We start from the raw sequence: 18,021 nt of genomic DNA on the forward strand, positions 1-18,021 counted from the left end.
AATACAACAGTGAAGGGTTTTACTCACACTGGTTTTGAATACAGTGGTGAAAGGTTTTAATCCCACTGGTTTTGAATCATGAATGTACTTGGGGAAGGGTCATAAATGACTTGGTAAGAAAATGATGAAATGCAACAATTTTTAAGGTGAGACACATGTAAGAATGAACATTGGGATCTTTTCTTGAGGTTTCTGGAGGGTTATTTATAATTCATACAGGAAAGGGCAGGTATAGCTATTCCAAAGAAATAGAAAAACAAGGTGTAACCATCCAACCAGAGATGGTACAAAATTCCAAAAATAAATCACTGATTTTAAGAAAAGCGAAAATAAAGGGGAGGATTGTTACTCTCGGTAGTTCTGTCCTGCAAAAATGTTTAAGCTTTAAGAAGACAAACACAATCAAAACCATAATTTTGCACCCTTAACCAAGCAGAAAGCTGGAGGATTGCATTGAACACTCACAGGTGAGTGTCCTATCCCCATAAATGACTCTGGCTTCTGATACGGGGTCTTTTTAGCCATGGAGAAGGGAAGGTATCACAATCTGGACGCCAAAGAATTAAAAACAGAATAATGTTGGAGGAGATATAAAATTGAGGAATCACCATCACTATACACAGCACAGCTCCCAAGTAAACAATTGTCTGGGCAAATATGTACTTTTGATACTTCTGAAAACCCAGGAGAAGCACTTTCTGTAAATTGTGAAAGAATGTGTGTGCTGTTTGCCTATACACACAGCATTTCCCACCCAAAGCTTTCTTTCCCTTTGTGCTGTAAATCCAGCTCAGTGCTGAAGAAGTCACTTCCACAGCCGAGATAAAATATTTATCTTCAGCAAAAAGGGCATAAACAATTGTTGAGGAAAATATACAATAAGTTCTTAAATGTCTGCATAATTGAAGCACTTAGGTGTGTTTTGGGTAATAGAAATAATAGCAGAACCAAAACTCTTTTTATAAAGGTAACATTTTTCTTAAATGCCGAAAGCAAACTCTTGAAGTCCCATCAGCCTAGCGACAGTGAGAACCTTCCCGGGCTCCGGGACCCATGGCAGGAATGTGAAACTGTGCCAGGGCGAAGGACTTTCAACAGAAAGAAACACGCTGCTGAGGCAGCTGAACAGAGACTTTTAACACAGGAAATGGTAACTCCATTTGCTCCAGATGCAGCGGGACAGACATCTGCCAGGCCCTGAGTTATGCCAGAGCATCTCCCGTGGAATGGACCAGGGTATGCCTGCCACCTGCCCGACGGGTATTTGGTTCAAAGGCCACATTAGAAATGAACACCTAATTAATTGGATTTGGAAAAACCTGAGAAATCAAACACACTGCATGACCGGGTGTGTGATCAGCCCCCTCCTTACTACTTAAATCAAACACACTGCATGACCGGGTGTGTGATCAGCCCCCTCCTTACTACTTAAATCAAACACACTGCATGACCGGGTGTGGGATCAGCCCCCTCCTTACTACTTAAATCAAACACACTCCATGACCGGGTGTGGGATCAGCCCCCTCCTTACTACTTAAATCAAACACACTGCATGACCGGGTGTGTGATCAGCCCCCTCCTTACTACTTAAATCAAACACACTGCATGACCGGGTGTGTGATCAGCCCCCTCCTTACTACTTAAATCAAAGACACCTCATGACCGGGTGTGTGATCAGCCCCCTCCTTACTACTTAAATCAAACACACTGCATGACCGGGTGTGGGATCAGTTCCCCCCTTACTACTTAAATCAAACACACTGCATGACCGGGTGTGGGATCAGTTCCCCCCTTACTACTTAAATCAAACACACTGCATGACCGGGTGTGGGATCAGCCCCCTCCTTACTACTTAAATCAAACACACTGCATGACCAGGTGTGTGATCAGTCCCCTCCTTACTACTTAAATCAAACACACTCCATGACCGGGTGTGGGATCAGCCCCCTCCTTACTACTTAAATCAAACACACTGCATGACCGGGTGTGGGATCAGCCCCCTCCTTACTACTTAAATCAAACACACTGCATGACCGGGAGTGTGATCAGCCCCCTCCTTACTACTTAAATCAAACACACTGCATGACCGGGTGTGGGATCAGTCCCCTCCTTACTACTTAAATCAAACACACTGCATGACCGGGTGTGGGATCAGTCCCCTCCTTACTACTTAAATCAAACACACTGCATGACCGGGTGTGTGATCAGTCCCCTCCTTACTACTTAAATCAAACACACTCCATGACCGGGTGTGTGATCAGCCCCCTCCTTACTACTTAAATCAAACACACCTCATGACCGGGTGTGTGATCAGCCCCCTCCTTACTACTTAAATCAAACACACTCCATGACCGGGTGTGTGATCAGCCCCCTCCTTACTACTTAAATCAAACACACTCCATGACCGGGTGTGTGATCAGTCCCCCCCTCCTTACTACTTAAATCAAACACACTGCATGACCGGGTGTGGGATCAGTCCCCTCCTTACTACTTAAATCAAACACACTGCATGACCGGGTGTGGGATCAGTCCCCTCCTTACTACTTAAATCAAACACACTGCATGACCGGGTGTGGGATCAGTCCCCTCCTTACTACTTAAATCAAACACACTGCATGACCGGGTGTGTGATCAGTCCCCCCCTCCTTACTACTTAAATCAAACACACTGCATGACCGGGTGTGGGATCACCCCCCTCCTTACTACTTAAATCAAACACACTGCATGACCGGGTGTGGGATCAGCCCCCTCCTTACTACTTAAATCAAACACACTCCATGACCGGGTGTGTGATCAGCCCCCTCCTTACTACTTAAATCAAACACACCTCATGACCGGGTGTGTGATCAGCCCCCTCCTTACTACTTAAATCAAACACACTGCATGACCGGGTGTGGGATCAGTCCCCTCCTTACTACTTAAATCAAACACACTCCATGACCGGGTGTGGGATCAGCCCCCTCCTTACTACTTAAATCAAACACACTCCATGACCGGGTGTGTGATCAGCCCCCTCCTTACTACTTAAATCAAACACACTGCATGACCGGGTGTGGGATCAGCCCCCTCCTTACTACTTAAATCAAACACACTCCATGACCGGGTGTGTGATCAGCCCCCTCCTTACTACTTAAATCAAACACACTCCATGACCGGGTGTGTGATCAGTCCCCCCCTCCTTACTACTTAAATCAAACACACTGCATGACCGGGTGTGGGATCAGTCCCCTCCTTACTACTTAAATCAAACACACTCCATGACCGGGTGTGTGATCAGCCCCCTCCTTACTACTTAAATCAAACACACCTCATGACCGGGTGTGTGATCAGCCCCCTCCTTACTACTTAAATCAAACACACTGCATGACCGGGTGTGGGATCAGTCCCCTCCTTACTACTTAAATCAAACACACTCCATGACCGGGTGTGGGATCAGTCCCCCTCCTTACTACTTAAATCAAACACACTCCATGACCGGGTGTGTGATCAGCCCCCTCCTTACTACTTAAATCAAACACACTGCATGACCGGGTGTGGGATCAGCCCCCTCCTTACTACTTAAATCAAACACACTCCATGACCGGGTGTGTGATCAGCCCCCTCCTTACTACTTAAATCAAACACACTCCATGACCGGGTGTGTGATCAGTCCCCCCCTCCTTACTACTTAAATCAAACACACTGCATGACCGGGTGTGTGATCAGTCCCCTCCTTACTACTTAAATCAAACACACTGCATGACCAGGTGTGTGATCAGTCCCCTCCTTACTACTTAAATCAAACACACTGCATGACCGGGTGTGGGATCAGCCCCCTCCTTACTACTTAAATCAAACACACTGCATGACCGGGAGTGTGATCAGCCCCCTCCTTACTACTTAAATCAAACACACTGCATGACCAGGTGTGTGATCAGCCCCCTCCTTACTACTTAAATCAAACACACTGCATGACCGGGTGTGTGATCAGCCCCCTCCTTACTACTTAAATCAAACACACTCCATGACCGGGTGTGTGATCAGTCCCCTCCTTACTACTTAAATCAAACACACCTCATGACCGGGTGTGTGATCAGTCCCCTCCTTACTACTTAAATCCAACACACCTCATGACCGGGTGTGGGATCAGTCCCCTCCTTACTACTTAAATCCAACACACCTCATGACCGGGTGTGGGATCAGTCCCCTCCTTACTACTTAAATCAAACACACCTCATGACCGGGTGTGTGATCAGTCCCCTCCTTACAACTTAAATCAAACACACCACATGACCGGGTGTGGGATCAGTACCTCCCCTCTCCGCTCCGCCTTACTACTTTTCAGAGTATTTGGAGTTATCAGGTCTTTGATCACTCAAGAAATAAAAGAAGCCTCATAATCTCTTGGTTATTAAAAATGTGTGCTTTCAGCTAAGTGCAGTGGCTCACACCTTTAATTCCAGCACTTTGGGAGGCGGAGGTAGGTGGATCACCTGAAGGCGGGAGTTCAAGACCAGCCTGGCCAGCATGGTGAAACCCTGTCTCTACTAAAAATACAAAAATTAGCCAGGCTTGGTGGTGTGCGCCTGTAGTCCCAGCTAGTTGGGAGGCTAAGACAGGAGAATTGCTTGAACCCAGGAGGCAGAGATTGCAGTGAGCCGAGATTGCACCACTGCACTCCAGCCTGGGTGACAGAGCGAGACGCCATCTCAAAAAAAAAAAAAAAAAAAATGAGTGCTTTCAAAGTGGTTGCTGATGCCACTCTCAATGCCAGCATTGCTATGAAGGGAATCTTTTAAGAGGTTTTAATACCAAATCTCCCAGCTTAGGTCTGGATTTGAGTATAAACAGTAACTTAGACAATTTAGTATTTGACATTCCTTTAATTCTAGGGAAAAATCAACAGAATGGCATTTCCCAAAGCAATCTTTGACTAACTTTGAGTTTTAATATTGGCCTAATGAATGTTGAGTGTGTTTTGATCGATGGTTACCATCCCCAGGCACAAAGCCCTGGTGTCAAATGCATTACCCTACTTGCTCCCCACGTAAGTCACAGTGATGCCTATTTTCCAATGTGGTGCCAAAGCAGAAACTGCAGTGAGGGGCAAGACACTGGCCTGGGAATCAACTTATTTTGGAAAACACTGAATGAAAGGTAAGGTTAAGCTGCTTTTCTTTGCTGAAGGAGATCTTAGAGCCTTAAATACACTCATGGACTTATAGCCAAGAAGTTTTAGCTCTCCAAGAGTGGAATGCAGAGTGCACAGTTCCCAAAAATAGTCGACCCCAGAGCTCGTCTTAGGAAACCCTGAACTTTGTGATGACTACAACACTTTGGTGTGGTTGGGTGCCAACACCCAACCATTCCCCACGATTCCCCGGGTGACACTCAGACACTTGAAGCAGGTGAACCTCCCACCACTTCATCAGCTAAGGTGCTGCCTTCCCGGTCTCTCGTTTGTGGGCACCCCCGTGTCCCCCCAGAGTGGCATGTGTAAGTGTCCTGGGGCCGCCATGACAAATGACCACAAGTTGGGGGCTTTCAACACAGAAATTCATCCTCTCACAGTTCTGGGACGAGAAGTCCAAGATCAAGGTGTTTGCAGCCACGCTCCCTCTGGAGCCATGAGGGGGGTCCTTCCTTCCGTCAACCAGCGGCTGGTGGCTCCAAGCACTCCCTGGCATTGGTAGTCGCCTCCGTCCAACCCCCGCCTCCATCTTCACATGGCCATCTCCCCCGATGTGTCTCTGTGTATCCCTTCTTGTCTTATGAGGACACCAGTCACTGGGTTTAGGGTCCACCCTCCCCCACTATGATTTCATCTTAATGAATCACATCTGCAAAGACCCTCTTTCCACATAGGGCCACATTCACAGACTCAGACGGCTCATCCTGGAACTCATCTTTTGGTGGGACACAGCTGAGCCCACAACAGGCCCCTTCTTATATTAGGGCTCCCATTGGTCAGGGCCCTGGCAGGAAGCAGTGGGAGCACAGAAGCCTTTCACAGGAGCGTTCAGTGGCGGACTGCTCACAGAGGGACAGCAGGGCTATGGGAGCCAGTGGCGGCCGAGCCTCCCAGGGACCCAGCAAGAGCGGGGCTTGAGGGTCCTGCCGTCTGGATGGAGCAGTGGGTGGAGCAGAGGACAGAGGCTGACACACACAGTTGCCACCAGACCACACCGCAAGAAGAGATCGAGGGGACGCCACTGAAGCCCCTCCTCCTCCCCCACAGACCTCCTGCCCCCTGTCTCTGGGTCCACTTGGCCCTCAGAGGCCAGTGCGCCTCAGCAGTCAGCTTCCCGGGCATAGCACACGCAGAGGCAGACAATGCACCTGCAGGGACGAGGAGAACAACCAGCACGTCTCGCGCTCCTCAAGCCCAGGCTCTCTCCCTGGGAGTGCTCAAATTCAGGCTCTAAAGCAGAGCTTGCAGAATGGTGGGACGGGCCGACCTCAGCACGCTAGCCCGGATGAGTCCTGCCCACTATGCTCTGCTGTTCTTTTTAATTGGCTGGGTTATGAAATTGTGCCCCATTTACCCCCAAACCCAGATTTCCCACTTCTGCAAAGCAGACTAGATCTGGACCTGTTGGGCCTGCATTCCTGCACCGTCACCCTTGCTTGGAGCTGAGTCTCAGCTGTCCTCTGCACAAGTGCAGGGGTCCCATTTGCCAGTTCTCACCACTTCTGGTGCACCCTGAGTTCATGTGCTGTGGTCTGAATGTCCGTGTCCCTCCAAAATGCATACGCTGGAAGCCAGTCCCTAAGGTGATGGTGCTAGGATGTGGGGCTCCTGGAAGGGACTAGATCACAGGGCGGAACCCTCATAAAAATGTGATTAGGGGCCTTATAAAAGGGCCCGAGGGAGCTCATTCATCCCTTTCACCTCGTGAGACCACTGCCAGAAGGTGCTGGCCATGAGGGATGGTCCCTCACTGGACACCAGATCTTGCCACACTTTGATCTTGGACTTCCAGCCTCCAGAACTGTGAGCAATAGGTTCTGCTGCTTATAAATCACAGTCTCAGGTGTTTTTTTTACAGCACCCTGCACAGATGAAGGCGGTGTGTGCCGACTGTCTCATCGTTTCGCTTGGCCTGTTGCTTTTCCTTTAAGTCAAGTATCCTCACGCCTGGCTGCTTATGATACACTGTCCTTTAAGTCAGGTATCCTCAAGCCTGGCTGCTTACAATGCACTGCTCTGCGGATGTCTGTCTGTGAGTGCTGCTTTTGGGCACAGTGTTGATGTTTTTAGTACGTCAGTAGCTTTGGCTATTTCTGTTCTTATTTCCTGCACAAATAAAAGCAAGTAGGAGTCTCATGTTTTACAGCAATGCCTGCTATGTGGGCTCTGCACCTCTAGCTAAGGGGAGTCTGTAGACACCTGGGTGTTGTCAGGGTGACCTCCAGTCTGCAGCCACCTCTAAGAGTCCCCTCCACTGCAGGTGCCATTCCAGTCTATAATTACTCCCAATCTCTCAGCACCAACCTCTCTCCTAGCAGGAGCTGGGCTTTATTTTTTTTATTTATTTATTTTTATTGAGACGGAGTCTCGCTCTGTCACCCAGGCTGGAGTGCAGTGGCGTGATCTCGGCTCACTGCAACCTCCACCTCCCGGGTTCAAGTGATTCTCCTGCCTCAGCCTCCAAGTGGCTGGGATTACAGGCGCCCGCCACCAAACCTGGCTAATCTGTGTATTTTTAGTAGAGACAGGATTTCACCATGTTGGCCAGGCTGGTCTCGAACTCCTGACCTCAGGTTATCCACCCGACTCGGCCTCCCAAAGTGCTGGGATTACAGGCATGAGCCACTGTGCCTGGCCCCGGAGCTGAGCTTTAAAAACAAACAAAATATTCATATCAGGCTTGAGTTTCATTGTTTAATTTTCATGCTTATTTGTAGTCACCAAAGTATAGACATTTGTCAAACCAAAATGGGTTGTGAAGAGCTGAGCTTCCAAGCTGGAAGCCATGAGCTCACCTCCACATTGGAGCTTCCACCTGAGCACATGCTGCTGCAATTGGAAAGTGGGAATGAGAGCCTAATCCACAAGCGGGCGGCAATCTGGTGACTGTGCACACTCCACTGAGGGGCCAGGCCTTCCGGGCTTAGAAACAGCAGAGACAGCTGACCCCGATTAGAGGGACTGCTGTTATACGCATTCACAGGCACAACCAGGCTCAACACAGCTGCCCCAGGTGGAACACGCCAGGCCAGTCCGGGCTGCTGCCCAGGCTTCTTGGTGTTGTCGCCTGAGGCAAGACCCTTCTGTTCTGGAGTCACACAGCAATTGTCCCCTCCACAGCCCATAATGTCTCTCAATACCTGTCTACTCCAACTGAATCCTGCATGTTTCTTCTTCTTTTATTTGCACTTATATTTCCTCCAAATCCTTTGAGAAACAGACCCTGCCTGCTTGTAATATTACAACATGAAGAGGTTGGGGATTCAGCTCTCTGTTGTACGTAAGTGGCTACAAAAATCCCTCTGTGGCCTTCAGAAAGTTACCTGGTCTTTCTGAATCTGTTTTCCTATCTGGCCAAGGAGGAATAATAACTGTTACTCTACTCGTGCATGCTATTATAAACAACTTCAGAATATCTGAAGATTAGATTGTTATTATTTATACCCAGAACATGTTAGGCACTGCCAAGAACTGGGAAGGAGCTGGGATTTTACCCGTTACAAGCTAAGAGTTGGCCTGCACACGTTCAGGGATGCTGGCAGAAGATACGAGACTCCTGGGTCAGAGAGAAAGGACAGTCTATTACTCACACCACCAGCAGGAGCCAGCACCCCAGCACCTTGCAGCAGTTCCCACGGGGTGTGCGATGAGGACCAGGCAGGGCCTGCAAACTGCTGCAGGGCATGGGAGGAGCCTGGGCTTAGGGCCCCCGAGCCTTTTATAACAGGCACTGAGCTTGCCTGCCCTGTGCCCCAAAGGAAAACATCATTCCTGTCTTCCACGGCTGTGAGCAAGCCTGCCCATGGCTCCTGGGGAGACACTGTCTTCACCTTCCGAGGCTGCTTGCTACATAAACACCCTTGAAAAGATCATCCAGAACAAAGGGAACTCAGTGCCGGCTCAATGTGAGAAATCCTTTCAGAATTGTCTCCCAGAGGGAACTCAACCTGACTCCAAAAATGCCTTCATCTCATAGACAGACTCCACTCGTTTAACAAAATGGGTACAAGCATCTCTAATACAGCGAGATATTAAGTTAAAAAGCAAACTCTGACTTTCATTAGCTAGAAAGATATAGGGCCTTGTATCTAAAAATCTGAATCAATACACAGATTTATGACTCTTCTCCAGCGCATAACCCAAGTGTGATCGTCATGTCCATTTTCTCCTTTCCATTTTCTGTCATGAAACGTAACATGGAAAACCAAAGAAAGGAAAAACGGTGCAGTCACCTCGATGTTGTGGCTAGATTGGCTAAAACTGATATAATAACGGCATTAAAGTATCTCTCGCAAGCGTCATTGCCTAAGTCGCCTTCTCTGAGTGACATTGATGGGAAATTCCTTTCAAATGGATGACTTTTTATGTTGAATTAATTTGGTTTGCAAGAAAAAGACATGGAATCCAACAGCCGGCTGGATCAGGGGCGCGTCTTCAACAGTATCTCTCTCCGGAAAGTGTTGCTCTCCTTTCTATTGTGAAGAAAAATTTCTGCTGGAGGACGGGTGCCCTGTGAGCCGTGGCCACGGCTATGAGCCCACGGACCCACGAGAAAGCCAGTGTGGCTGGGCAGCAGGTCCTGCTCCCCCCGGCCCGTGGCCAGGCAGGTGCGCAGGGGCCGAGTCCTGCCCGTGGCTCCACCCAGCTCCAGCTCCGGGACCCGCGCGGGGAGTCAGGGCAGCGGGTCCTGGGCCGTGGCGCCTCCGTCTGCAGGGACTTCTTGTAATCACCAAGCAGCGCGGTTGTATTCTTCACAGTCCCCCACATTGGCGTGGCTGGAGCCTCCCATTCGAAGCTCAGATCTGGGCACTCACCGAGTATACTAACGTCTCACTAAAAGCTACCAGGGTTATTGATACAAATCAAATTATCCCGAACAATTCTGGTATGTTCCCAGAAAAGTATGGCTAAAAATAACTCAGCCGCCTATCTCTCCCTTGGTAGTAGGTTGCTGGTTTTCCGAATTTTCACTATGAAAAATAAAATACTTGAGGCCTCAAGAGCTGTTTTTAATTAAATTGCCAAGTTTCCCATTGAGGGTTATCTGCAAATTATGCTGCTTTCTTTTTTATGTGAAATGAGCATTGTTCCACGGGCAGCGTTGTGAAACCCAGCCCTGCAGAGGAGCCAGCAGCCTGGCAGGATGTGGACGCTGGAATCCCTGTCACCGTGATTCCACGCAGTATGAACACAGCCGAGTGGAGGGCGGGGCTGCTGGCCTTGGGTGGCTGACCTGGAGACTGGATGCTGTAACTCTGTCACCCTCGGTCAGAGGTAGAAGCACAGAGCCTTTGCTGATGCAGGTGACAATCTATTATCTTCGAGAAACTTGAACTGCTTTGAAGACCGGAAGTGGTTCTATAATTTATTGGATGGTAAGCCCGACCAGAACTAGTGGGGGTATTTATAGTATGTATGTGTGTGTCCTATATATATCCTGTATATGTACACACACAGACACACATATGTATACACACACATACATCTAACATCCTATATATACACATACATATGTATAAATACACATATACACACATAGGTACATACACACAATGTATATACATGCATAGACACACCTATACATGCACATAAACATACACATATATACATGTATACATACACTCGAACATTGGGATATAATTGATAAACCCATCAAAAGTTGAAAATATCGTAAGCTGGGAATGATTTTAATACACCTCACCTACCGAACATTCTGCCTTAGCCTCGCCTACCTTCGACTTGCTCAGAACTCTGACCTAGGCCACAGCTGGGCAAAATCACTCGGCAGCAAAATCACCTGGCAGCATGGTCAGTGCTCGCAGAGAGCAGTGGATCCTGGTGGCACGTGGCTGACTGGGGACTTCAGCTTTCTGCTGCAGAGAGGAGCCTGGGAAAAGACCAAAATCCAAAAGTCAAGGTATTGCTTCTACTGAATATGTATCACTTTCACACCATGGTAAAGGAGAAAAATTGTAAGTTAAGGCCAGGCACCATGGCTGATGCCTGTAATCCCAGAACTTTGGCCAAGAAAGGAGGATCACTTGAGCCCAGGAGTTCGAGACCAGCCTGGGCAATATAGCAAGACCCTGTCTCTACAAAAAAATACAGAAATTAGCTGGGTGTGGCGGCTCACACCTGTAGCCCCAGCTGCATGGAGGCTAAAGTGGGACAATAGATTGAACAGGGAGGTCGTGACTGCAGTGAACCCTGATTGTGCCACTCTGCACTCCAGCTTGGGTGACAGGGCAAGACCCTGTCTCAAAAACAAAACTGTAAGTCGACCCATTGTAAGTTGGGGGCCATCTGTACACACGTGCGTACATATACACACATACATATACATATACACATACATGTATATAAACATATGCATATATGCATATACACACGTGTGTATATACCTACTTACATCAACCTAATGAAGGTGAGTATTTGCTAATGGTGAATATTCGTGTTTCCCTTCAGAAGTATATGACTGACTGTGACTGTGGGACGCTCCCAAGAGCCTCTGAACGTGTTACGTGGGACATGGAATGCACACTGCATTGCCTTTCTCATATTCAAAGTACGCTAGATTTTGGCAAGGTGCGGTGGCTCACGCCTGTAATCTCAGCACTTTGGGAGGCTGAGGCGGGTGGATCACGAGGTCAGGAGATCGAGACCATCCTGGCTAACACGGTGAAACCCCGTCTCTACCAAAAACACAAAAAATTAGCCAGGCGTGGTGGCAGGCACCTGTAGTGCCAGCTACTCAGGAGGCTGAGGCAGGAGAATGGCATGAACCCGGGAGGTGGAGCTTGCAGTGAGCCGAGATTGCACCACTGCACTCCAGCCTGGGCGACAGAGCAAGACTCCGTCTCCAAAAAAAAAAAGGGTATACTGGATTTCAAAGTGAAAGAATTCAGATTGGGCATGGTGGCTCACGCCTGTAATCCCAGTACTTTGGGAAGCCAAGGTGGGAGGAGTCTAAGAGTTCAAGATCAGCCTGGGCAGCAGGGCGAAATCTCGCCTCTGCAAATAAAATGAAATAAAAATTAGGCGGGCATGGTGGTGCACGCCTGTGGTCCCATTTACTCAGGAGGTTGTGGTGAGAGGATTGCCCGAGCCCAGGAGGTTGAGGCTGCATTGAACTGTGACTGTGCCACTGCACTCCAGCCTAGGCGACAGAGTGAGACTCTGCCTCAAAAGAAAAACAAAAACGAAAAAACCAAAAAGGTGAAAGATTTCAATAAATGGTGGATTATTCCATGTTCACAAATTGTAAGGATTTGGTCTATAGATGGATTCAGTGCAATACGATGGAAATCCAGATTGCTATTTTATAAGTTGACGAGCAGGTTCTAAAATTTATATGGAAATGCAAAGATTCAAGAACAGCCAAGGCAATCCTGAAGACCAAGTTTGATGCTCACATCACTCAACGCCAAGACGTGACCCTAGTGCCATCGTGCAGGACAGTGTGATTTCAGCGAGACAAAGGACATGTGGGGCAGAATGAAGAGTCGGGAAACACACATACCCACATATGAATACTTGATTTATGACCAATTAACCTTGCAGAGCAGCAAGGGAAGGGTGGTGGTTTTGATCCACGGTGCTGGTCATTGGGATAACCACAGGACAAAACTGGAAACTTGGCCCTTGTGCCACCCCATACCAAAAAAAAAAATTCAACCCCAGGTGAATTGTAGGCCTAAATGTGAAAAGTAAATAATAAAGCTTCTAGAAAATCACATAGGACAAAGTATCTTTATGGGCTCAGTGAAGATTCTTCAAAACAGATTATAAAAAATATTAAAAACAAAAAATTGATCAAAATTAAGATCTTCTGTTAATTAAAAGACACAGTAGAGTGAAAAGACAAGCAGCAGGATGAGCAATGACACGACAAGCACACACCAAAGCACACACCACTGACTTCTGCTTTCAGGAAGGTGAGTGAACACACATTTTCTTCTCCCTCTCACTAAATACAGCTGAAATCCCTGGATATCACATGTAAAACAAACCCAAGAAGACTCTGGAAGGTGGGGAGACAAAAGCAGACAGGTTGGGAGCTCAGGACCTGAGGAATGGGGCAGAGCCTCCCCTAGGTTCTCTCAGACGTGGGGATGAGAAGCTGGTAGCAGAAAAGCCCAGGCACAGACAAAAAAAGGATTAACAAAAGCCTGTATTCTCCAGCCTAAGGGCCAGGAAAGGGGCTACCCAGCATGAGAGAAAATTTTCAGACCATCTACCAGCTACTTCAACGAAATTCTGTCCCTACCCCTAACCACACCTGCAGCCTCCCTCACAAGACTGCAACGAGGATCCCAGTATCCCACCAGTGTGGTTTCAAACAAGGACCTTCCTTCCTGCCAGCTAAAGATGAGGACCCCACCCTGCCGTGGCAGCAGAGAGCATGTGGGGAGCCTGACGTCCACCCCCACTGGCAGCAACAGAGGCCCCCTCCTACTCCATACTAGGAGAGTCTGGACTTTCTCCAGCCCCTAGTGGTGATATGGACAAATACCACCATCACCCCCTACCCATTTCACTCTCCCGCCGCCACCATGGTGCCAGCAGTGATCATGCTGGGAGCCAGGACTGCCACAGCTGTTCAGCATAACAATGACACCCCCCATGCCCCAATCTCAGGCATCAACAGAGGCTGTGTGGGGAACTGGACTCCTGCCCCCACCCGGCAGGAACAAGGGGGCACCTCCACTCCTGTTGCTGGAGTGCTGTCAGAAAAAATCAGTTACAAGAGAAGGTTTAAATAAGATCCAGAGTCTCCTAACATGATGTGAAAGGGTCCAGGTTTCAATCTAAAGTCACTTGTGGCCAGCTGCGGTGGCTCATGCCTGTAATTCCAGCACTTTGAGAGGCCAAAGAGGGTGGGTCACCTGAGGTCAGGACTTTAAGACCAGCCTGGCCAACATGATGAAACCCTGTCTCTACTAAAAAAAAAGAAAAAAAAAAGTACAAAAAATGGCTAGGCATGGTGGCATGTGCCTGTCGTTCCAGCTACTTGGGAAGCCGAGGCAGGAGAATCACTTGAACCTGGGAGGTGGAGGCTACAGTGAGCTGAGATTGGGCCACTGTACTCCAGCCTGGCCAACAGAGTAAGACTCCATCTCAAAAAATAAAAAAATAAAAATAAAGTCACTTGTCACAGCAAGAACCAGGAAAATCTCAAACTATGAGAAAAGGACAATCAACAGAGGCCAAGCTGAGAGGGCAGAGATGTTAAAATCCTGACAATGATTTTATAGCATCCATGATAAAATGCTTCAACAGGCAATTGCAAATATGCTTGAAACAAATGAAAAAAACAAAAAACAAAAAACAGAAAATCTTTTTTTTTTTTTTTTGAGATGGAGTCTTGCTCTGTCGCCAAAGCTGGAGTGCAATGACACAATCTCAGCTCACTGCAACCTCCACTTCCCGGGTTCAAGCAATTCTCCTGCCTCAGCCTCCTGAGTAGCTTGGATTACAGGTGCCCACCACCGTGCCCGGCTAATTTTTGTATTTTTTAAAGATGGGGTTTCACCGTCTTGGTCAGGCTGGTCTCAAACTCCTGACCTCAGGTGATCCACCCACCTCAGCCTCCCAAAGTGCTAGGATTACAGGCGTGAGCCACTGTGCCTGGCAAAAAACAAAAAATCTTGACAAAGAAATAGAAGATATAAAGAAGAATCAAACAAATTTTAGAACTGAAAAATATAAAAGCCAAATAAAAAGCTCAGTCAATGGTCTCAACAGCAAAATGGAGGGTGAAGAAAAAAGAATTAGTAAAATGGAAGATAGAATAAGAGAAATTACCCAACCTGAACAATAAAGACAAAATAGACTGAAAAAAAAGAACCTGAGACACCTGTGAGATGATAAGAAAAGATCTAACACTCCCATCAAGAGAGTACCAGAAGGAAAAGCAAGAGTGGGACTAAAAAAATACTGAAAGAAATAATGGCTGAAAATTTTCTAATTTGATGAGACGACCTACAGATTCAAGAAGCTGGAAAAACCTCAAACAGGGTAAGCCCAAATCCACACTAAGCTATGTCATAATTAAACTTTTGGAAACTAAAGACAAAAAGCTTTGAAAGCAGCCAGAGAAAAACAGAACTTCACTTATAGGAGAAAACAATTTAAATGATAGCAGATTTCTCATCAAAAAACACGGAGGCCTGAAGAAAGCAGCAAAATATTTTTCAGGTGCTGAAAGAAAAGAACCATCAACTCAGAATTCTATTCCCAGCATGAAACCATGACCAAAATCAGGACGATGAATAGATTCATAGCCACAAAAGTTGTTTAACAACCTTTGTAATCATGCCATCCTCCTCCCTCCTCACCCAGTTCTCAATTGCTTATCTTCTCTCTGTTGCTAAATATTCATTTGCATTTACTTGAATTTTATATAAAGGAAATACAGTATTTTTTTAAGGAATCCTGTGCCCAGAAAAAAAATGTTCTTCAGGAACCAAGGGGAAATCAACTTTGTCAGATGAAGATGAACTAAGAAAGTTTGTTGCAAGTAGGCTTACTCTAAAAGAATGGCTAAATGAATTTTTATAAATAGAAATGGAATGACATAAGAAATAACCTTGAATCATCGGGAAGAAAGAACATGGTAAGCCAAAATATGAGTAAATATAATAGGCTTTCATTCTCCTCTTAAGCAAATTATATTCGACTGTTGAAGTAAGTATAACATTGTCTGATGTGGCTGTAAATAGGTAGAGAAGAAATATTTAAGAAAATTACATTATAAATGGTGGATGTTAAAGAGAAGTACTGGCCGGGCATGGCGGCTCACTTGTGTAATCCCAGCACTTTGGGAGGCCCAGGTGGGTGGATCACTTGAGGTCAGGAGTTCAAGACCAGCCTGGCTAACATGGTGAAACCCCATCTCTACTAAAAATACAAAAATTAGCTGGGTGTGGGTGGGTGCCTGTAATCCCAGCTACTTGGGAGGCTGAGGCAGGAGAATCCCCTGAACCTGGGAGGCAGAGGTTGCAGTGAGCCAAGATTGTGCCACTGCACTCCAGCCTGGGTGACAGAGTGAGACTCCATCTCAAAAATAAATAAATAAATAAATAAAAATAAAATAAAGGGATGGCCGGGCACAGTGGCTCATGCTTGTAATCCCAGCACTTTGGGAGGCCAAGGTGAGCAGATCACAAGGTCAGGAGTTCAAGACCAGGCTGGCCAAGATGGTGAAACCCCATCTCTACTAAATACAAAAATTAGCTGGGTGTGGTGGTGGGCACCTGTAATCCCAGCTACTTGGGAGGCTGAAGCATAGAATTGCTTGAACCCAGGAGGTGGAGGTTGCAGTGAGCTGAGATCATGCCACTGCACTCCAGCCTGGGCAACAGAGCAGGACTCCGTCTCAAAAATATAAAAAATAAAAATAAGAAAATAAAGGAATGTACTACTGGGAGATAAGATTGCTATACTCCAACTGAACTGGTAAAATGAGAACACCAATAGACTGTGATCACTAGACATATATAATGTAATACCTAGAGCTGTCACCAAACAAGCTATACAAAGAGATACACTCAAAACATTACAGATAAATCCAAATGGAATTCTACAAAATCCCCATGCCTAAGCACCCACCAATCTGCTCTTTGTTTCTTTGGATTTGCCTATTCTGGAAATATTATACAAATAAATCCATACAATACAAGGCCTTTCACGACTGGCTTCTTTTACTCAGCATAAGTTTTGTCTGCATTGTAGCAGGTACCAGTGCCTCATTCCTTTTCATGGTGAGTAACATTCCACTATGTGGATATACCACATTTTGTAACCCATTCATCAGGATGAACATTTGGGTTGTTTTCACCTTTTGATTATTATTACTAATGCTTCTATACATATTCATGTACAAGTTTTCGTGTGGACATATTTCTTTTCTCATGGGTATATCCCAAGGGGTGGAATAGGTATGTTAAATGATGTCTACATTTCACCCTTTAAGGAACTGCCAGACTGCTTTCCAAAGCAAAGGCACCATTTTGCATTCCCACCAGCAGTATATGTGAGTTCCAATTTCTCTCCATCTTTGCCAACACTTGTTATTGTCTGTCTTTCTCACTGTAGTCATCCTGATGAGTGTAAACTGTTGCCTCATTATGACTTTGATTGGCATTTTCCTAATGGCCAATGTTGAGCATCCTCTCATGTGCATGTTGACCATTTCCACATCTTCTTTGGACAAATGTCTATTCAAGTCTTTTGCCCGTTTGTTATTTGGGTCATTTATCTTCTTATTAGTGAGTTGTAGGGTTCTTTATATTTTCTAGATGCAAATCCCTTGTTAGACATATGGTTTTCAAATATTTCTTTTTCCATTCTGTGGGTTGTGTTTTTGCTTTCTCAATAGCGACCTTTAAAACACGAAAGTTGTAAATTTTGCCATAATTCAATTTTTCCATAGAAATCGTAGAGCTTGAATTTCTTTCATGTTCATTCCTTCCAATCCTATAATTCAACCACATAAATTAGTAAAGGCCCACAGGATAACAGACCTGAGAGAAACAAAACTGGGACTTGGAATTCAGAAAAGTGAGCTGTGATGTGAAAATAATGCCTGGCAGGGCTGGTTGGAATGATCTCTGGGCGACTGACACTTGTCTCTGGGGGCTGAGGCAGTGGCGTTGACGAGTGTGTAGAGGGAGGCAGGAGAGCCGCAGCTGAGTCCGCAGGTGCTCTCTGCTGACAGTGCTGTCCTGGAATGTGCACGGTGAGCACGTGCAGGCATGTAGGCTGTGGTCTGCCACTTGCTGGGTCTGACGGATCTTCAGCAAATGCTTCTCACTCAAGCAATGGTGCCCCCTCACTTCACGCCTCAGCCT

General features: G+C 46.6%; 1 long non-coding RNA gene across 2 annotated transcripts in view; it reads right to left on the bottom strand.

Moving 5' to 3' along the window:
* LOC105372225 (uncharacterized) overlaps window positions 1-18,021 on the bottom strand; it is a 62,644-nt gene that overhangs the window by 11,589 nt on the left and 33,034 nt on the right. For both annotated transcript variants that reach the window (XR_001753514.2, XR_001753513.2), the window contains exon 2: window positions 10,903-11,057. This is a non-coding gene — a long non-coding RNA (uncharacterized LOC105372225). The remainder of the gene's footprint in view (window positions 1-10,902; window positions 11,058-18,021) is intronic.

The sequence above is a fragment of the Homo sapiens genome, chromosome 18 (assembly GCF_000001405.40).
Source record: "Homo sapiens chromosome 18, GRCh38.p14 Primary Assembly".
Taxonomy (NCBI): domain Eukaryota; kingdom Metazoa; phylum Chordata; class Mammalia; order Primates; family Hominidae; genus Homo; species Homo sapiens.